This window comes from Homo sapiens, chromosome 8 (assembly GCF_000001405.40).
Source record: "Homo sapiens chromosome 8, GRCh38.p14 Primary Assembly".
Lineage (NCBI taxonomy): Eukaryota > Metazoa > Chordata > Mammalia > Primates > Hominidae > Homo > Homo sapiens.
In genome coordinates, this window is record NC_000008.11 from 99,098,255 (window position 1) to 99,121,150 (window position 22,896).

General features: G+C 35.3%; 1 protein-coding gene across 5 annotated transcripts in view; it reads left to right on the forward strand.

The window, feature by feature from the left end:
- The window catches only part of VPS13B (vacuolar protein sorting 13 homolog B), an 864,307-nt gene that overhangs the window by 84,981 nt on the left and 756,430 nt on the right, over window positions 1-22,896 (forward strand). For all 5 annotated transcript variants that reach the window (NR_047582.2, NM_152564.5, NM_017890.5 and 2 more), the window contains 3 exons: window positions 4,699-4,866; window positions 12,844-13,025; window positions 17,446-17,620. Coding sequence is in view for 4 of the 5 variants with exons in the window: in NM_152564.5 (NP_689777.3) it covers window positions 4,699-4,866; window positions 12,844-13,025; window positions 17,446-17,620 (525 nt within the window). In the remaining variant the exon portion in view is untranslated. The remainder of the gene's footprint in view (window positions 1-4,698; window positions 4,867-12,843; window positions 13,026-17,445; window positions 17,621-22,896) is intronic.

Genomic DNA, 22,896 nt, shown 5'->3' on the forward strand with positions numbered 1-22,896 from the left:
ACAGGGTGGAGTGTTTACTTTATCTTATCCAGAACTGAAACCGGTTAACATTGTGGTGTACAACCTTTTAGAGAGTCTTTTCTTCCTTTACACACACACACTCACACATATGCACACAAAAACAATTTGTTATAACCTAAATTTTTCATTTAATGTTATGCCAAAAACATGTTTCCAGGCCATTCACATTTTTTACGTTGTTATTTCAATCAGTGGCATACAATCCTGTTGTATAACTCTTCTACAGTTTATTTAACCAGTCCTTTTTTTGGTTTGATATTTAGGTTATTTGTTATTTTTAGTTTTGTAAAATGCTTTAGCAAACATATGTAGGTAAGTCTTTGCATACACCTCTGCTTATATCTTTAGGAAAACTCCTTTCCAATTTATAGAGTCAAAATTTGTGAGCACTTTTAAGGTTTTTGGCATAAAATGGCTAAATTACTCTGTGGAAAGTTTGTAACAATACTTTATTCCAATCACATTTTTAGTGTAATGCTGTTTTTTATTATTAAAAAAATCTCTTAAAACTTTTATAGGTGGAAAATGCTATCATACATTTTATTGCTAATTGGGATTTCCATCTTTACCATTTTCTTTTTATACTTTTTTGTTAGGAAAGCTAATTTTTATATTTTGTTAGCTGACCAGTATTCAGTATTTTTTAGTCGCTTCTTTTGGAGTTTCTATATAAAAAGTACTGTCATCTTTGTGAAATGACTTTTTTCCCTCCTTTGCAATACTTATACACTAATTTCTCTTTTTTCCCTTTATTTCATTGTCTAGAACTTCTGTGACCATCTTAAATAATATAGTATCACCAACTCACATCGGTTTTTTTAGCTCCTACAGTAATTGCCCAAAATTATTATCTAGTTATTAAATCTGATGTTTTTAATTCATATTTTATTGGGCCTGTCTATAACATTGACAGTAAAGATTTTTTATTCTTGCCCTTTTAACAAAGTTTTTATTTTGAAACAATTTCAGCATTTCATAAAAGACAAGAACATTCTAAAGAACTTATTTTCCCTTTAACCATTTGAGCATAAATTTCCTATCTGATGCTACATAATGCTCAAATAAATTTTACACCAAAAACTTGACTACGATGTTTTTATGTACTGTAACCAAGTCATCAACCGTGGCATTTCTGATTATGAGCAGCTTGGCTTCCCAGTGACCACATCAAGATGAATCAATTGCAGATGGTGTCTCTTTGTAACCAAAATTTTTTGATACATGCCATTTAAGACTATCAGAGAAATAAATAAGATACAGTCTTTTTTCTCTAGGACTTCACAGTTTATCAGAGAAGATAAGCATACATATACATAAAAAATGACTAATAGTAACATAAGCCCAAGAAAAGTGGTAGAGACATTTCTCTTTAATGTTGAGGTGTAGGATGGAGGACATTGGAGAAGACAATATAAGGCAGAGGAAAATTATACTGCACCTGAACAAGAAGTGCGAATGGACAAAAAGTATTGTAAAAAGGAGGAAGAACACGAGTAAAGTTAGTGAAAATTAGTGTTTTCATCTGGGCCTGTGGATATAGATGTATGTTTGGAAGAAGGGGTTATATGAGGTATGGGGAGAGGTAGATAATAAGAATTTCTGGAGAAAGGTTGACTAGTAGCAGGCTGTTTTAGAGCCATCTAATATTACATCTTGTAGGTTCTCATCCTTAGTGTGACTTTCTATTTTCAGATGCGTGTGGAGTAGACCCGGATGATGAACAAATATACTCCCAGGGAGTCTCTAAGTATGGAGTGATGAGAGCTATTAGATCTACTTGACACTATCTTGTACCTTGCTTAGAACTAAGTTACTGTGAGGGATTATAGAGACGGTTTGTCATTTATTCCACTGATAAGTTTCTGTTACTTATTTTGACATTGCATTTTTAGTAAGGAAACAGTGATAGTCTTCTACAGAAGTAGTTCTTTCGATATTTGATTCTTTTACTTTGGTGAAGTGGCTTATTCATCTCAATTTGTATGTCAGTTTTATAATACAAAATGGAAAGAAAAAAAAATATATATATTTTGAGACACGGTTTCACTCCTGTCACCCAGGCTGGAGTGTGATGGTGCAACTTTGGCTCACTGCAACCTCCGCCTCTGGTGCTCAAGCGATTCTCTTGCCTTAGCCTCCTGAGTAGCTGGGACTAAAGGCACATGCCACGACACCCAGTTAATTTTTGTATTTTTGTAGAGACGGGGTTTTACCATGTTGCCCAGGCTGATCTCGAACCCCTGAGCTCAAATGATCTGTCTGCTTCGGCCTCCCAAAGTGCTGGGATTATAGGTGTAAGCCACCATGCCCAGCCAGAAAATATTTTTAAAAAGATGAACAATCCATCAGTAGTGTTCTATCAGTTAAAATACATATTGTGTTTTGTTTCTATTACTTTGCATTATACTTCTATGCTATTTTTGATACTGTTTTAAAGATAATAAAAACTCATGAATGCTTACGTGGTTTTTAAGAGTACTGTATTGGCCAGGCATGGTGGCTCATGCCTGTAATCCCAGTACTTTGGGAGGCCAAGGAGGGCGGATCACGAGGTCAGGAGTTCGAGACCAGCCTGACCAACATGGTGAAACCCCATCTCTACTAAAAAAAATACAAAAATTAGCCTGACGTGGTGGCACGTGCCTGTAATCCTAGCTACTCAGGAGGTTGAGGCAGGAGAATCACTTGAACCCGGGAGGCGGAGGTTGTCGTGAGTTGAGATCATGCCATTGCACTCTAGCCTGGACGATAGAGAGAGACTAGTCTCAAAAAAAAAAAAAGTTCCCTGTTCATGACAGGTTTTTGAGAAATAGGGAAACCAATATTAGTCATGCTCACTTGACTTCTTGGAAACATTTTTATTTATTTATTTTTTAGATGGAGTCTTGCTCTGTCGCCCAGGCTGGAGTGCAGTGGCACGATCCCGGCTCACTGCAAGCTCCGCCTCCTGGGTTCACACCATCCTCCTGCTTCAGCCTCCTGAGTAGCTGGGACTACAGGTGCCTGCCACCACGCCCGGCTAATTTTTTTGTATTTTTAGTAGAGACAGGGTTTCACCGTGTCAGCCAGGATGGTCTCCATCTTTTGACCTTGTGATCTGCCTGCCTTGGCCTCCCAAAGTGCTGGGATTACAGGCGTGAGCCACCGTGCTTGGCCCCATTTTTGTTTTTAAAATCTGCATTGAGTAGTAATAATATGGGGTTATGTACATTCTAAGGTTAAAATGTTGATACTTACAATTTCTTTTGGAGGTCTCATTTATTAAGAATTATTTTAGCATCTACTCATGGAAGAGTAATTGTTACTTTAAATCTATTAATATTTTGAATGTTAATTTTATAGCATGTGATAATTGGCACTCTAAAAGCTGCTAATAGTTTCTATATAGGAGAAAACCTCGAATCTAAGTTGTATTACATTTCTTTCCTATTTGCATCATTGGGAATGAATGAAGGAGTTGGGTTTTGCACACGTTATGGTTGAATAGATTTAAGTAAGTCTTCTCTCAGCAGGCTTTAGTGTAGGTGTTAACAATGTCAGATGCTGACAGAAGTTGATTATGTTTTGTCCAGTAAAATTCTGGGTTAAAGAATACAACCATATGGTTATTTCATGAAATAGCTAAAATTTTAATTACCTTTTAAATAGTTTTCTTTAATAGTGGAAATGCATTACCTTTTAGTTAGCTTTTTACAGTGGAAAAGATTAATTTTTTTTTCTCCTGGCTTTTAAAATGCTTTTTATAAAGTGTTATTTATATTTTTAACTAAATTACTCAATAATGTATCCATGTACACACTTACATGAGAAACATAAGTGAGATTATGGAGTATTCCTCAGTAGCATGAAATTAAAAGAAAAATTTTGGAGATTCTAAGCAAGCCATGGAGAAATAGAATGTTCATTAATTACTTTTAGTGTTTGGAGTTAACCTGTATTTCTGTTTCTTTTTCCTATTTCCCTGTGTTCTTATTCTACTTTTATACATTCTCCTTCCTTCCATACTTTTGTTTTTTCATTTTTCTGTCTTCTTCATGGTAGTATTTTAAAAATATTTCTTTAACTCTTCCTGTCTACATTTTCTTCTTCATTCATATTTTCCCCTCTACTCTATTTTAACATTAAATATTAGTAAGTGAGTAGAGTTGAATCCATTATGATGGTCATGTTTCTTCTATCCGAGGCATAACTTTTAAATATTTTTATGGCTAAACTAGGAAGAGATGAAGGTAGCTGGTTTAAAAAGAGGCTTAAGCTTAAAGAAGACCATCTTCTAATATACTGTATAATCAGCATATAGTAACATTGCTTCATTTTGGAAAATGTTTATATAATACAATAAGCAAAAATCAAACAAAGTACTTGTAGAATAGGATAATCATTGTATGGGATCTAATATTATGTTATCAAAAATATATATGGTCTTTGTGGTTTCTCTTAGTATATGAATACTTCACTATAGAACTTCTTGATAATGACGTTTGTTGGGGTCGATCTGCTACTTATTACCTGTGTCACTTTGGCAAGCCTTTTAACCTATCTGAACTTCAGTTTCTCTTTGGGAAATATGCTAAATAATAACCACCTTTCTCATACATTAAGTTCAATAACACTTTAAGAAATAATTATTTACTGAGAGATTTGTGGCTAATTAAATTCTTTTTTTCTATTTTATAGGTTATGTGCAGAGTCTGATTAGACGAGTTGTAAATAATGTAAACATTGTGATAAATAATCTCATACTAAAATATGTTGAAGATGATATCGTCCTTTCCGTCAATATCACTTCTGCAGAATGTTATACAGTAGGTGAATTATGGGATCGTGCATTCATGGATATTTCTGGTGAGTAAATATGGAGAATACCGTATATTTTTCCATAATTGAAACAATTACCTTAACTCTTAACCCTTCTTTGGGCCAACTGAGTTGCTGGTAAATGTTATCAAATCTTCATGCCTCCAGTGTGGGAAAAAAATGCACATATACAAAATGTTGCATATAATTACAGGAGGTTAGTAGACACTCCAAATTCAGAAATCTATACTTGTGGTTTTTGTTTGTTTGTTTTTGAGACAGGGTCTGGCTCTGTTGCCCAGGCTGGAGTGCAGTGGTGTGATCTCAGCTCACTGCAACCTCTGCCTCCCGGGCTCAAACAATCCTCTCACCTCAGACTCTTGAGTAGCTGAGACTACAGGCACATGCTGCTATGCCCGGCTTTTTTTTTTTTTTTTTTTTTTTGAGATGGAGTCTTGCTCTGTCGCCCAGGCTGGAGTGCAGTGGCTCAATCTCGGCTCACTGCAAGTTCCACCTCCCCGGGTTCACACCATTCTTCTGCCTCAGCCTCCCGAGTAGCTGGGACTACAGGCACCTGCCACCATGCCCGGCTAATTTTTTGTATTTTTAGTAGAGATGGGGTTTCACCATGTTAGCCAGGATGGTCTCCATCTTTTGACCTTGTGATCCACCCGCCTCCGCCTTCCAAAGTGCTGGGATTACAGATGTGAGCCACTGCGCCTGGCCAAATTTTTGTGTTTTTTTGTAGAGACAAGGTTTTGCCACATTGCCCAGGTTGGTCTTGAACTCCTGAGCTCTAGCGATTTGCCTGCCTTGGCCCCTCAAAGTGCTGAGATTACAGGAATGAGCCACCATACCTGGCCTATACTTGTTTTTTAATACTTTTAATTTTCATTCTTTCTTACTTGCCACATGCTTGTTTCAAATGTGATGTATAATACAGTCATGCATTGCTTAACAACAGGGACATATTCTGAGAAATGCATCTTAGGCGATTTTGTTGTTATGCAAACATCATAGAGTGTACTTACACAAACCTAGATGGTATAGCCAGTACACAACCTCAGGTATATGGTATTGGCTATTATTGCTCCTAGGCTGCAAACCTGTACAGCATGTTACTGTGCTGAGTATTGTAGATAGTTGTAACACAGTGGTATTTGTGTATCTAAAAACAGAAAAGGTATAGTAAAAATATAGTATTATAATCTTATGGGACAGCCATCATAGATATATAGTCTGTTGTTGACTTAGGTATTGTTATGCAGTGCATGACTATATTTTATAGTGCCATGGGTTGTAGCAATAAAAGTTAAATGATATTTAGTTTGAATTGTTTATGTTTTTGAAAGGTGAAAGGCATCATGTTTCATTTACAAAGCTTGGTGAAGGCAAGGCAATATATCTGATTGATTTATGTTTTAGGCTTGTGTGTTCCAAAGCACATTTGGAATTTCTTCCTTCTTTTCCTCCCCTCTCCCCACCGTCCCCCCTCCCCTCTCCCTTTCATCCTCCCTTCCCTTTCCTTGCTTCTCCCCTGCCCCTTTCCCTCTTCCCCCTTTCCTTTTTGAGAAAGGGTCTCATTCTGTTGCCCAGGCTGGAGTGCAGTGGTGCTACCTTGGCTCACTGCAGCCTCGACTTCCTGGGCTCAGGTGATCCTCCCATCTTAGCCTCCCAAGTAGCTGGGACCACAGGCGTGCACTACCATGCCTGGCTAATTTTTGTATTTTTTTGTAGAGATGGGGTTTTGCCCTGTTGCCCAGGCTGGTCTCAAACTCCTTGGCTTAAGTGATCCACCCACCTTGGCCTCCCAAAGTGTTGGGATTACAGGTGTGAGCCACCATGATAGCCCTGGAATTTCTTGATTATCCTGAAGCCTGTTTTTATCTCTTTTTAATGTTTAGTCATATATTCCTTTATTCATCATAAATCCCAGTTAAAGGGTTAAAGCAAAGTGAAATTGAGTCTCAAGAGTATTTAACTTGCCTGATTAAGGCATACAACTAGGAAGTAGCAGAACTGGAATAGAGTTTTATTATTATGTGTTTTCTAAGCTTTAGTCTTCACATTTAACAAAAGGAGAGTAGTCCTGATTTTACAACTTTGTTGTGAGCATAAAAGTGTAGGTAAGGCCCAAGCATCATTTCTTATATATCGTTAATGCCTCCTTTGCATCTTCTGTGGAAAGAAATATTTGATTAAAAGGCTGGAAGAAGCAGCTATGGAAAATAGAAAACAAATAGAACTGGACAATGTAGGATTGTATTAATGAGTTGACATTTGTGGTGAAGAAATTTTATTTTAATTAATTAATTAATTTTTTTGAGACAGAGTCTCGCTCTGTCACCCAGGCTGAAGTGCAGTGACGCAATCTTGGCTCACTGCAACTTCTGCCTCCCGGGTTCAAGCGATTCTCCTGCCTCAGCCTCCCAAGTAGCTGGGACTCTAGGCGCCTGCCAGCATGCCTGGCTAATTTTTATATTTTTGGTAGAGACGGGGTTTCACCATGTTGGCCAGTCTGGTCTTGAATTCCTGACCTCAAGTGATCTGCCTGCCTCAGCTTCCTAGAATGCTGGGATTACAGGCATGAGCCACTGTGCCCACCCAGAAATTTAATTTTAGTATAGAAGCAATTTAGTATGGTATAGAAATTTAATTTAGTATAGAAGCAATGCCAGTTTTACTTTGGGAAATTATTTATAGTGAATTAGAATTCTGGATCAGGAGTTGGAAGATCTTAGTTTGAATCTTCTCTCCACTGCTAATTTACAGTGCAAACTTGGGTGAGTCATTTATAAAATGACTGCTTCTAACTTGCCAGTGTACTCTTCAGAAGCAAATATACCATATGAAAGCTCATGATGATGGTGGTGATAAAGACAGTGAAAATAGTATCTTCTGTTTATTTAGTACCAGGGCTAGTGTTACATATTTTATATTAATTATCTTGTTTAACCCTTTAACTCTCTGAGGAAGAAACTATTATTTTCCCTTTTATTAGTTTTTTTTTAAATAATTTTTTTTAATTGAAGCATAACATGCAAGAAAGAAAGAGCATTAAGCAAAAACACATAGCTGGCCGGGTGTGGTGGCTCACGCCTGTAATCCCAGCATTTTGGGAGGCTGAGGCGGGCGGATCCCCTGAGGTCAGGAGTTTGAGACCAGCCTGGCCAACATGGTGAAACACCATCTCTACTAAAAATACAAAAAAAATTAGCTGGGCACGGTGGCAGGTGCCTGTAATCCTAGCTACTTGGGAGGCTGAGGCAGGAGAATCACTTGAACCCAGGAGGCGGAGGCTGCAGTGAGTCGAAATTGTGCCACTGCACTCTAGCCTTGGCGATAGAGTGAGACTCCACCTCAAAAAAAAAAAAAAAAAAAACCCAAAACAAACAAACAAACAAAAAACCCATATAGCTAAACGACATACCACAAAATGAACATACTCTTGTAACCACCACCAAGCTCAAGAAATTGAACAATATCAGCACCCAGAAGTGCTTGTTGTACATATACTCACTTACTACTGCCCCTTCTTTCCCCAAAGCAACCACTTTACTGACATCTGACACCATAGTAGGGTTTGGACTCTTTTTAAATTTTTGTATGAATGGAACCATATGTATTTTGGGCCTAGATTATTTTGCTCAATATTATGTAAATGAAATTTATTCAGGTTTTCGTCTGTAACAATAGTTCAGTTCTGCGTGTATATATCTATTCCCTCTCCCTGCACAATCAGGTGAGCAAGGGTTGGGGTTCTGCCTGCACTGGTCTTTCCTGGATATATGTGGGATGGCGAGTTTGCAGGTCTGGTCTGTGTTGTGAATAAAACATTTTTTTGCTCAGTGTACCATTGATATAGATTTAATTATGTCCAGTTTTGGCTATAATGAATAATGCTATAGCGAACATTTTCATACATGTCCTTTGGTGGACATATACATACATTTCTGTTGGGTATATGCCTAGGAGTGAAATTACTGGGTCATAGTGTAGGCCTATGTTAAGCTTCAGAGATACTGACAAATAGTTTTTTCATAATAGTAATGCCATTTTTTTACTAACAAGTAATGCACGAGGCTGTATTAAAATATTGCAGTTAAAATAAGAATTGTAATATCTTTGTGAGGGTAAAAAGGCAAGCCACAGATGGAAGTGTATATTCTTGATACTTAAAATTTGCAACATACTTATATCCACAATATATAACTTCTATAAATCAATAAGAAAAGAATAGACAACTCAGTAGAAAAATGGACAAGAGACTTGAACAAACACGTAAAAAAGAGTATACCCCAAAGACCAATAAACATAAGATGTTCAATTAACACCAAATCAGATTGCACTAAATACTTGCCATAATGGATTAAAAAATAAAATAATTGGGCCATCTATCTATTCCTTCTCCTTTAACTCATTCCTTCCCCTTACGTATTTTTTTTTTATAATTTCCAAGACTTTTATTTCAGTATAAAGGTCTTCAGAATATCTAATCTTTTCTACTATTAGAGGCAGAATCCTATCATCTCCCATGTGGTTGACATTCAAGTTGTTCTAAAATATTGACATTGCCCATAGTGCTGGAATGTACATCCTTTTTTATGTTTCCTTGTTACGTGTTTGAATTCTGTAAATTATGATCAGGAAAAGAATAACTGCATATGTAAACATTCAGTTATGTTTTATATTGCTGAATTGTTCTCTAAAATGATTAAATCAATTTATTACCATCCATACTATCTGTGAGAATTAATATTTCTTTTTATTCCTTTCCAAGTTGTATTTTAGGTTGAGAGGGTACATGTGCAGGTCTGTTACTTGGGTAAATTGCATGTTGCATGCATTTGGTGTACAGATTATTCTGTCACTCAAGTAATGAGCATAGTACCTAATGGTTAGTCTTTTGATTCTTACCTTGCTCCCACCCTCCACCCTCAAGTAGGCCTTGGTATTTATTGTTGCCTTCTTTGTGTCCATGTATACTCAGTGCTTAGCTCCCACTTATAATTGAGAACATGCAGTGTTTGGTTTTCTGTTCCTGCATAATTTGCCTAGGATAATGCCCTCCAGCTCTATCCATATTGCTGCAAAGGACATGATTTCATCCTTTTTTATGGCTATGTAGTATTCGATGGTGGATACGTCTTGTATTTTCTTTATCTACTTCACTGTTGTTGGGCATCTAGGTTGATTCCATGTCTTTGCTATTGTGTATAGTGCTGCAATGAACATACACATGTGCGTGTCTTTATGGTAGAAAGATTTATATTCATAAGCGTGTTGCCTATGCTTTTGAGGTCTTAGTCATAAATTCTTTGCCTAGACCAATGTCAGGTCTTACATTTAAGTCTTTAATCTATCTCGAGTTGATTTTTTTAAATAGTGAGAGATAAGGGTCTAGGTTTGTTCTTCTGCATATAGATATCCAGTTTTCCCAGCACCATTTATTGAAGAGACTGTTCTTTTCCTCAGTGTGTTTTCTTGGCCCCTATATAGAAAATCAGTTGGCTGTAAATGCATGGATTCATTTCTGGGTTTTTGATTTTATTCCATTGGGCTATGTGTCTTTTTTTATGCCAGTACCGTACTGTTTTGGTTATTATTGCTTTTAGTATATTTTAAAGTCAGGGAGTATGATGCCTCTAGCTGTGTTCTTTTTGCTTGGGGTTGCTTTGAGTATTTAGGGTCTTTGTGGTTCCATAAAAATTTTAGGATTGTTTTTTCTTATGTCTGTGAAAAAATGTCATTGGTATTTTGATAGGGATTGCATTGATTTCGTAGATTGCTTTGGATAGTATGGAAATGATTTTGGAAGAATTCCCTCCACTTCAATTTTTTGGAACAGTTTGTGAATATTGGTATTAGTTCTTTAAATGTTTGGTAGAATATGACAGTGAATCCAAAGGTCTTAGGCTTTTCTTTGATTGCTTTTTCCAGGTTTTGGAAGTTTTCTCTATTTCTTTGAATAAGCTTCCTAACCTCTTTTTAAAAATAGTATTCTTATATGTTGTATTTTGGGTTTGTTGTTTTCAATCAATACTATGCTTTTAATATTTCTATATATTGGTGTATATAGTTGTAGAGCCCTAATTTCAGTGATGAATAATATTTTACTGATTAAATTGTAGCACATTTCTAAAGTAAGTACCAGAAACTAGAATTCATTTTCTAAGTTTTTGAAATATAGTTGCTGTTATATTTTGTGTTTAAGAAAAAATACCTTTAAAACAGTAATGTCCTCTTTCACTGAATAATAATTGTCTAGGGTCTAGGGTATCCTTGAAATTTGAATACTTCACTTTTTCTTTCTTTCTTTTTTTTTTTTAAGAGAGAGTCTTAACTCTGTTGTTCAGGCTGGAGTGCAGTGGTGTGATCTTGGCTCACTGCAAGCTCCACCCCTGGGTTCAAGCCATTCTTGTGCCTCAGTCACCTGAGTAGCTGTGATTTTCTGCATTTGCCACCACACCCAGCTAATTGTTGTATTTGTAGTAGAGATGGTGTTTCACCACTTTGCCCAGGCTGGTTTTGAACTCCTGGCCTCAAGCAATCCGCCTAGGCCTCCCAAAGTGCTGGGATTATAGGCATGAACCACCATGCCTGGCCTGAATAGCTTACATTCTTATAGCAAAGTAGATAAGAACATGCACTCTGCAGTAAGGTTGCCAGAGTTTGAATTACAGCTCTGATCTTTATAAACTGTATAACAATAGACAGACTATTACCACTGTGCCTCAGTTTTCACATTTTTTAACAGGACCGTGTAAATATTGTCAGATAAGAGATGTAAAAGACTTAGTGTAGTATCTGAGTAATAGCAAATACTCAGAAAATGATAATTGTTATCATAAAGAGAGGGAAGGAAACATCTACAGGATATCTTTTTTTTTCTCATTTCTGGTCCTACTATTGTAATTTCTTAATTTGTGTACATATATAATATTAGTAACTAAATCATTATTCATATAATATGTAAATTTGAAATATGGTAGTCATATGTCTTTTTCAACTAACAGACAACTTTGAAATTTATCTGCAAATAATACTGTTTAGACACATCTTCTTTAATTTCTACTTTTTAAAAACTTATAAAATAAAATGTTGAATTAATTAGAAGTTGCCAGGATATACTCAGAAATAGTGTTATAACCTGAACTAAAACACATTTTATTGTTTTTTAAATTCCCATGGCTAACTTAAAATCACTGGGCAAGTAGATTTGGGCCTGATATTTACCTAGGAATTGCTTATCAGTTAAGAAATAAGAAATATTGATTTGCTAAAGGCTTCATTTCATACTTTTATACTTTACCATCAATTGTTTTATTTTTATTCCTTTGAAAATATACTCTAGAGTGTTATTGGTGATTTCTTTATTAATTAATGTGGTGGTGTCCACTAGACCTTTCTGTGATAATACAAGTGTTTTATATCTTCTCTCTCCAATATGGTAGCCACTAGCCACATGTGGCTGTTGAGCACTTGAAATATAGCTAGTGCAACCAAGGACCTTAATTTTTATTTTTATATAATTTTAATTAATTTAAATAGCCACATATGGCTGGTGGCTACCATATTGGATAGTGCAAGTTTAGAGTAGCAGTGAGTTTTTTTTAATATAAAATGAATGTTAAATGAATGACTTCTTCAAAAAATTATCTTTAATGTGGATTCTTAAGAATTTTATTGTTATCTCATTGTGTAAGAGAACTGTAGTGAAATTTTTCATAATTAAAAAAAATTTGTAGTTAATGTGCCATGCAGATTGGGGCAAACTAATTAGGTCTCTGATTCTTCATATATAAAATGGGGAGAATTGTGCCTATTTCATAAAGTTGTTGGAAGATTTAAATTGTATAATAAAATGAAAAGTTCATTGCATATGGTCTGGCATTATGTATTAAATGCTCCATGAATCTTATTTTCTGTTATTATTAATTTTATTACTATTTATACTAATAAATAATAGTTGCCTTTCCCCTGCTAATTTTCCTTTTTACTTAAAATGTTTTTTTTTCTTTTTAGCAACTGATTTGGTGCTGAGAAAGGTTATCAATTTTTCTGACTGTACAGTTTGTCTTGATAAACGGAATGCCAGTGGTAAAATAGAATTTTACCAGGATCCTTTATTATACAAATGTTCCTTCAGAACTCGTCTTCATTTTACATATGAAAACCTAAATTCCAAGATGCCATCTGTTATTAAAGTAGGTATCTCTTTTTTTTGCAGTTAAGTTGCATGTCTTTATTTTGTTTATTGACTCTTGTGGATGCTAATCATTATTAACAAATGAAGAAATTAACCTTGTAAATATGTATGCCATTTGTTTTTATAAAAATTTTATTTATGTTTATGATTTTTATGTTGTATTTATACATTTCTGTATAACGTATTCTACTAGAGTTTAGAGACAACTTTTTTCTGTAATTGTTTTTTTTTAGTTTTTCCAGCTGTTTATTAGTGTTTCTCTCTTCAAGTAGATAGAGGAAATAATATTAAAAGGTATATTTATACCCACAGTGGACTGCATATCAGTATTCTGTATTTCAGTTCTTATAATCTGTTCAGCATGATCTGCTATCTATACTTTTTCTTCTCTTTACTAGGTGACTTCGTAAAGCTTGATATACTAACCTAATAGTTTATTGGTTCAAGAAGTTTTAGCTTTTGATTTATGATTTTTAAAATGTAATTAAAATCTTAGGGAGTTATTCAGGACATGTCTTTTTATTTTTTATCTGCATTTTCATTTAAGATTAAGGGATTTGTTACAAGGGTATATTGTGTGATGCTTAGGTTTGGGCTCCCACTGATACCATCATCCAGATAGTGAACATAGTACCCAAAAGGAAGTTTTTCAGCCCTTTTTTCCTCTCCCTCCTTCCCTCCTTTTAGAATCCACACTGTCTGTTGTTCCCATCTTTATGTCCATGTGTACCCAAGATTTAGCTTCCACTTCTAAGTGAGAACAGGACATGTCTTTTGATACATGTGAAAATTTTCTGTCCAATGTAGTGTATGTTTTCAATGTATGTGATTAGTATCTAAGCATAAATATTGTTGTCTTATTTAACAGTTTTCTGAACATTGTTTGTCTGCCTATCATTGTATCTTGGAAAAAGAATTCAGTGACTTCTGATCCCATTAAGTAGGTTTTAATGTGGAGTAAATGTTTATTGTTGAACTACTTGCCTCTGACTGTCAAAGTTCTGTAGATGGAAGGGCTGGACTTAGGTGTCTGAACACTGGTATTAACTACTGTTCCTGTTTGAGTATGGCTGTATAAAAATTAGTTTTGTTTTTGTTACCTTATATTTTATTAAAAATATAGTATTTTCTATTTTACGTAGCCTTACTGTACTTAATATGTAAAATCTACATGTTTTTTTCTTGGTAGTGCTTAGTCACCTGTGTTTTACTTTTTTCCACACGGTGTATAATGCATATTGGTTTGTTTATATTCTGTTACTTTTTCCTTCTATATTTGAATTAGCTTCTTTGGCAAAGATAAACATGGAAAAGAATTAACTCAGTAATAGTGATGGCTCTGTCTCAGGGAAATACGCTTATTTTCTATAGCCTTGGGTTTTCTAGTAAATTTGGGGAATGTGAAGGTAAATTGAAGATACATTGAAAGCAAGTAATGGATATATGGAAGCTTACTATATAAAATACTCTTTTTGATCATTAGTGCAAATGTAATGGTCTATTCTAGGATGTGGTTATATTAGAGGAAGGTAAAAATAGATGAGGAAAAACTTAGTGTTGGCATATAAGTAAGTTTGTGTTCTCAAAACTGATTAGTCATTACATTTCACTGAAAAAGTCCCTTATCATAAATAAACTTGTATAATAGTTGCCAAATATGTGATATCAATGTGTTATACTCAACTGAAATCAATTTTGGAGGTTTTATTTCTTTCTTCTTTTCTTTTCTCTCTTTCTTTTTTCTCCCCTCCTCTCCCTCTCCCCACCCTTCCCCTCCCCTCTGTTTCCCTCCCCTCTCCTCCGCTTTCTCTCCTTTTTTCTTTCTCCTTTTTTCTTTACCTTCGAGGCTCCCTGTCACCCAGGCTGGAGTGCAGTGGCACAATCATACTTCACTGTAACCTTGAACTCCTGGGGTCAAGCGATCCTTCTGTCTCAGGCTCTTAAGTAGCTAGGACTACAGGCGCATGTCTCCATCCCTGGCTCATTTTAAATTGTTTTTTTGTAGAGACGGAGTCTCACTGTGCAGCCCAGGCTGATACTGAACCTCCTAGCTTCAAGTAATTCTCTTGTCTAGGCCTCCCAAAGTGCTGGGATTCCTGGCATGAGCCACCATGCCTGCCTGAGTTTTTTGTTAATACTATTGTAATGTTAAGATTTGCCATTTTGGGTTAGACCCATCATTCTTCCAAGTCCTAATCCTAGGGAATATGTATTAAACAGATATGGTCGACCTCATTAATTACTTCACAGAGGTTTCTCAAAATGTTCCAGATACTATATTTCTTTTCTTCTTTTTTTTTGAGACGGAGTCTTGCTCTTGTTGACCAGGCTGGAGTGCAATGGCATGATCTCGGCTCACTGCAACCTCTGCCTCCCGGGTTCAAGTGATTCTCCTGCCTCAGCTTCCCGAGTAGCTGGGATTACAGGCGCCGGCCACCAGGCCTGGCTAATTTTTGTATTTTTAGTAGAGACAGGGTTTTGCCCTTTTGGCCAGGCTGGTCTCAAACTCCTGACCTCATGATCCGCCTGGCTCAGCCTCCCAAAGTGCTGGGATTACAGGCATGAGTCACTGCGCCTGGCCCCTCTATTTCTTTTCAAATCTTTCATGTATGTTTATTTTGAATGTATTTATATGTTGGGTTGGCTTTTTATAATTTTCCATTTTTTTTGTGTGAGATACATACGTTCTGGTGATTATGATGTTTATGAGATACAGATCCTATGGGTACGTAATTTATTTAACATTTCTCCTGTTTTTAGAAATTTACTTTGCAGTTTCTCAGAGCAGTGAAATTCTGTGCATAGAACTTTGACCACATTTCCTGAGTAATTCCTTAGGAAAGATTTGTATAATTGCAAATATCTTTTTTTTTTTTTTAAGACCTGTGATCTGTATTGCCAGATTGTTTCCAGAAAGATTTAACCAGGTTATACTCACATGAACATTAAGGGGAGTGCCTATGTCATACTCTTATTATCCTTAAATATGATCATATTTTAAAAATTGCCAACTTGTTGAACAACAAATGATATGTAATTTAATTGCCGTTTATTAGTGAAGTTAGATTTTTGAAAACACATTCACTGGTCATTTGTTCTTTGTATTATCAGTTCAGGTTCTTTATCCATTTTTCTACTGAGTATTAATCTTACTCATTTTAAGGAGCTTTTAAAAAGATACTTATGACAGATTCTTTGTTATTGGTTTTGCTGACTGCTTATTACCAGTGCTATTGGTGCAATACAAGATTTAAAAGAATGTGACAGAGGAATTTCAAATTAAGGAAACCTTAGCAGACATGCATACTCCTTTCCTGCTCACCTCCCACACTCATTCCCCGCTTTCTTACCTCTTCATTGTTTATTCAGTGTATGATTATTAGGTCAGTTTTTAAAAGCTTGTGCTCATATTTGAAATATGGTATTTCACAGTCCCCCCATATAGTTTTCTCCCCCTTCACATACATTTTTTTATGTGCTTTGCACCCTAAAAATACGATGATTACCATTACTATTACTTCATCTTTCATAGACACTGAAATACATTAGTCAAAATAAACCTTCTAAGAGACTTGACTTTATGGCATAATTGGTTTTACTCCGTGTTTAGATAACAGCAGGAAACCATTACACTGAAGTTGTGTTTATATTCCACTGATGTCTCTTTCTTTAAGGAGAGCTTTGATTGCTGTATATCCTATTTGCTAGTAGTTAATCTTATTTCTTTGTTATAATGGTTTCATTTTATCAGTTGAATAAGTTTTATGTCATTTAAATCTTATCTACAATTTGGAAAACTTTTGTTATTTAAATCTTACTTAAAATTTGTCTGAAAAACTTTTTTCAACATATATTTCACTTGTTTTTCCATATTTGACAAAAATTTTTATTATTTACATACTTTCATAGTTGTAATACTAGTCTTTTCCCCAGTTAACATATGGTTTTAGGATGTATATGTATTCTTTATGGTTAATAAACCTGGAAAGAATGATTAGAGTTTCACTAAAATGACATAAAATTTTTATTATTCTTGGTTTTGACAGATTGTTCTGTTTTTTGAGGATAATACTGTTATTCTCTTAATGTTATAGAGTAGCTATTTGGTTATATAACTAACTTTGTTTCTGGAATAGTAATCTGGAAATCTAGTGTGATTATACCTTCTCACTATTAATTCCATTTGTATGTACATCATTTGGTTTAATATCGTTTCTATCTAACGTGTATTGATCATCATAGCAAAATTTACTTAATTCCTAAGATCTTAGAGTAAGTATTGTTTTGATTTAAGTATTAAAATGTTTGGAGCATTTCTTTTATGTTATGCCATTTAAAGACTTTAAAACATTTCTTTATGTAAAAAATACTCTTTTTAAACATGCGTTTGTTGGTGTTATGTCTTTTTCAAAATGCAGATTCATACTTTAGTGGAAAGTTTGAAACTTTCTATCACAGATCAACAACTGCCTATGTTTATTCGTATAATGCAACTTGGAATTGCTCTTTACTATGGAGAAATAGGCAATTTTAAAGAAGGCGAAATAGAGGACCTTACTTGTCATAATAAAGATATGCTAGGAAACATTACAGGTAATGTAAAACTTTATTAAACAAAAACTTTATTTTAAGACTATTCTTACGTTTTACCATTGGGAAACTTTAAAAAATGTATTAGCTTGAGTTTTACAGTATTCTAATGAGATGGGCTGATTGTTTTTTGGTTGTTTTACACTATTTTAATTTTTTTGTTTGTTTTGTTTTGAGATGGAGACTAGCTCTGTTGCCTGGGCTGGAGTGCTGTGGTGCAATCATGGCTCACTGCAACCTCTGCCTCTCAGGTTCAGGCAGTTCTCTTGCCTCAGCCTCCCAAGTAGCTGGGATTACAGACATGCATCACCACGCCTGTGTAATTTTGTATTTTTTTTTTTTAGTAGAGATGGGTTTTCACCATGTTGGCCAGGCTGGTCTCAAACTCCTGACCTTGTGATCTGCCCGCCTCAGCCTCCCAAAGTGCTGGGATTACAGGCATGAGCCACTGTGCCCAGCCTACACTACTTTAATTTTATCTACATGCTGGATAACATTCTGATTTTCTCCTATATGCTAAAAATAACTTCTATATTTATAATAGATATAAGTGTTCAGAATGTACTACTTATTTATTTATGAATGAGGGTTTTGCTCTGTCACCCAGGCTGGAGTGCAGTGGCATGATCATGGGTCACTGCAGCCGCGACCTCCCAGGCTCAGGTGATCCTTCTACCCCAGCCTTCCAAATAGTTAGGGCTACAGGTACATGCCACCATGCCTGGGTAATTTTTGCATTTTTTGTAGAGACAGGGTTTTGCTATGTTGCCCAGGCTGGTCTCAAACTCCTAGGCATAAGCTATCTGCCCGCCTCAGCATCACAAAGTGCTGGGATTACAGGCATGAGCCACCATGCCTGACCCAGGATATACATTTGATAAAAGTTGAAGTAGTATACCTCAAGATTTCCTAGTAAATAATAGTATTGGTAATTTTTCTGCAAAAGTTCACTTAAGTTGAATTGAGTTATTTTAGTGCTGTTAATTAATGAAATGTATACTTCATTGAAGGATATGTAATGTGGGAAAATACAGAAATCATTTTGATGTATTTCTTTCCCTTAGAATTTTAAGATAAAATGGGACAGATAGACATGTCAGTAGTTAGTTAAGTATGATGAATGGTAGAATGGCAGAAAGTTTGATAAATATCATGAATGATCTGATGTAGAAAGATGAAAGGATGACTGATTTCAACTTGGTATTGGGCCTGAGACTCAGAAAGTTTTCAGGTGATTAATTTCCATAGATAAAGCCCTAAGAGAAGGGCATTTAAAACTTAGGGGCAAATAACCCAATTAAAAATGGGCAAAGAGACATTTCTCCAAAGAAGGTAAACAAATAGCAAACAAGCAAATCAAAACCTCAGTGAGATACCACTTCACAGGTACTAGATGACTATAATAAAAAAAAATACAAAATAACAGGTATTGGTGAGGATGTGGAGAAACTGGAACTCATATAAGTTGTTGGGAGTGTAAAATGGTATAGTTGCTTTGGAAAACAATATGGCAGTTCTTCAAAACGTGAAACATAGAGTTACCATGTTGACCCAGCAATTCCATTCCTACGTGTATATCAAGAGAACTGATAACATATGTCCATGTAAAAACTTATATATGAAATGTTCATGGTAACATATTCATAGTAGCCAAAAACTGGACACAATTGAAATGTCTGTCAACTGATGAATGGATTATCAAATTATGGCATATTCATACATTGGAGTATTATTTAGCTGTACAAAAAAATGAAATACTGATATAGGCTACAGCATGGATGAACCTTGAAAGCATTATCTTAAGTGAAAGCAGCCAGTCAAAAGATAATACATATGATATGATTCCATTAGAAATGTTCATAATAGGCAGTTCTGTAGAGGCAGGAAGTAGATTAGTAACCAGGAGTTGCGGGGAGGAGAGAATGACTGCAAATAAATAGGTTTCTTTTTGGAATGATGAAAATGTTCTAAAATTAGATAGTGGTGATAGGAGCAAAACTTGTGACTATTAAAAAAATCCCACTGAATTGTACACCTTTAAATGTTGAATTTTATGCTATTTAAACTTTATCTCATTAAAAAAATCTTACTACCTTAAAATAAAGCATAGAGAACAACATTAATCAGAGTATGTAGATATAAAACATACCTTTATTTCACACTAGAGGGTAAATTTTTGTTAGACAATGCATTGCTGAGACAGAAACAGTGTCTTATACCTGGAACAAACATAACATGTAGAAGATACTTGATTTATTTTTTTCCAACTTGACAAATTTCAAATATATGGAAAAGCTGTAAGAGTTATTATAAGGTGAACACTCACAGACTTATCATCTGGAGTCTTCTATTGATATTCTGTTACAATTGCTTCATCACATATTGGTTCATCTAACATCCCTTTCCCTATTTATCAATACAATTGTTTTTGATGCCTTTCAAATTAAGTTACATACATTGCTACACTTCACCCCTAACCCTCAGCTGCCTGTTGTTATCTAGAGTTTCTACTAAGTGGTGGGTCTTTTTATTTTTTTTGGAGGTTAAATCTCCAAAGTAAAATTCAATGAGTTTGAGAAATACATACACCTGTGTGATGCAAAACACTCATCAAGATATAGGTCATTAACATCTGAGATAGTTTCTTATGCCCCTTTCTAGTCATTCCCCTTTCACCTGCCTGCCTCCCCGCGAGAAAACACTGTTCTGAAGTTCCTTAAAACTGTAGATTTAGTTTTGCTGATTCTAGAATTTCATATAAATGGAAACACTCAATATGTATAAAAGGCTTCTTTCATTAAGCATAGTGTGTTTGGTATTTATCTATGTTGTTGCATGTAGCAGTCGTTCTTTCCTTTTCATTGCTACATACACTGTATGAATATACCATGTGAATATACTATAGTTTATTTTACCATTCACTGTTTGATGGACACTTGGGCTGTTTTTCGTTTTTGGCTATTATAAATAAAGCTTTCATAGATATTTTTGTACAAATTTCACGTAGACATGTGCTATTCTTTCTCTTGGGTAAATACTTAAGAGTGGAATTATATGTTTAGTTTTCAAAGAAACTTCCATAACTTTTTTCAATGTGGTTGTACCATTTTATATTCCTATCAACAATGTGTGAGAGTTGCAGTTGGCCTACATCCTTGCTAACATTCAATGGTGTATTTTTTCACTTTTTTGCCATTGGGATGAGTGTGTTGTGGTATCTCATGGTTTTTTAATTTGCATTTTTTGATGGCTAATTATTTTGAATTTTTAATGTGATTATCGGCCTTTATCTGCCTTTGTGAAGTATGTGTTAAATATTTGTCCATTTAAAGCTTTTTTGTGTCTTTTAAAAATTTTATTTTACTTTATGTATTTATTATTTATTTATTGACATAGTCTCACTCTGTTGCCTAGGCTGGAGTATGATGGCATGATCATAGCTCACTGCAGCCTTGAACTCCTGGGCTCAAGCAATCCTCCAGCCTCAGCCTCCCGAGTGGCTGGGTGGGACTACAGGTGCACGACACTGAGTGTGGCTGATAAATTTTGTTTTGTTTTGTTTTTGGTTGAGGTGGGGGTCTCACTTTGTTGCAGTAGGCTGTTCTTGAACTCCTGGCTTCATGTGATTCTCCCATCTCGGGCTCCCAAAGTGCTGGGATTATAGGAATGAGCCAGTGGGCCCAACAGGGTTTGCACCTTATATAAAACTTATTCTGAACTACAATGGCTTAAGTGTCTTGGTACTGTTATTTTAGTTACTCTAGTTAATTCTTATTAAGCCTTTTCCTTCTCAGGTGAAAGAAGGTAAACATTCATAACCTATAAATGTAGAATGTTCCAAGAGTCTCCTGTCATAAGAGTTTAAAAAGTTATAAAGCTTTTTGAGTAAGAAAACCTGTAAGGATGTTATTTAAAGATTTAAAGGAGTATGTGTATTTATAGATTTATCAATGGAGAGTAGATATGAGTGAATATGCTGGAGACTAATTTTTCCATGGTGTTTTTTTTTTGTTTGTTTTTTGTTTTTAGACAGGGTCCAGGGTCTTGCTCTGTCACCCAGGCTGCAGTGCAGTGGTATGAAACATGGCTCACTGCAACGCCTGCCTCCTGGATTCAAGTGATTCTCCCACCTCAGCCTGCCAAGTTGCTGGGACCATAATGGGTGCACACCACCACACCCAGACAATTTTTTTGTATTTTTAGTAGGGACAGGGTTTCACCATGTTGCCCAGGCTGGTCTCGAACTCCTGAGCTTAGGTAATCTGCCCACCTTGGCCTCCCAAAGTGCTGGGATTACAGGTTTAAGTCACCGATCCTGGCCCCTATGAATTTTACACCCGGACAGTTTTTTTGTATTTTTAGTAGGGACAGGGTTTCATCATGTTGCTCAGGCTGGTCTCGAACTCCTGAGCTCAGGTGATCTGCCCACCTTGGCCTCCCAAAGTGCTGGGATTACAGGTGTGAGTCACTGCTCCTGGCCCCTATGAAATTTTTAAAAAGTAATTTTTTTTTCTAAATTTCATGATGCCTCTTTTGTTTATATTGCTATAATTATATTAAAGGACTTTGATGGAGTTTGTCTTTACAAAGGTGGCATAAATTAAAGAGTAGTTGGAATCTAAATCTTTGGTCTGCCAGTTTGTAACCAAATAAAATTTCTTGGCTATAATTTTTTCAGCTGTACAACAGGAAAGGTATAACATATCTTACTTGCTAGTAAGAAAGAGGCCCCAACATTATTATTTTTCTTAACTACATATAAAAGTTGTTTTATTCTAATATTTGCTTTCATTTTTGGGATAATTCTTGTTTGGGCAGGGGAGCATTTTGCCTAGAAGCACTTGCCATTTTTTTTTTCCTCCATGGGTGCTGATCAGGAAATGAAGAATGTTTCTTGGGTCTTTGTGGTATTATGTTTCTGAGAAAAGTCAGTTTTTCAATATATCAGCCTTATTTTTGAGAGGTAGGTTTTTTGTTGTTGGTTTAAAACATTCATGAGCGATGTTAAAGAATTAATTTATTATTTGTCTTTATCAAATACAGTTAAAAGTTATGTGCAGTTGATAAACTACTTTCCACATCACATTAACCATAACCTACTAAAGGAGAAAGATACGGTACAACATACAGAAAGTTGAGAGTCATAATGCTAAATTATTGGTTTCAAATAGTAATAATCACTGTATCATTTGTTTATACCTTATATTAGAAGGATATGGGAGGAAAAATTTTAAAGGATGTCTATTTCTATTCTCTTAGTTAAATCCTTTTGACTTATT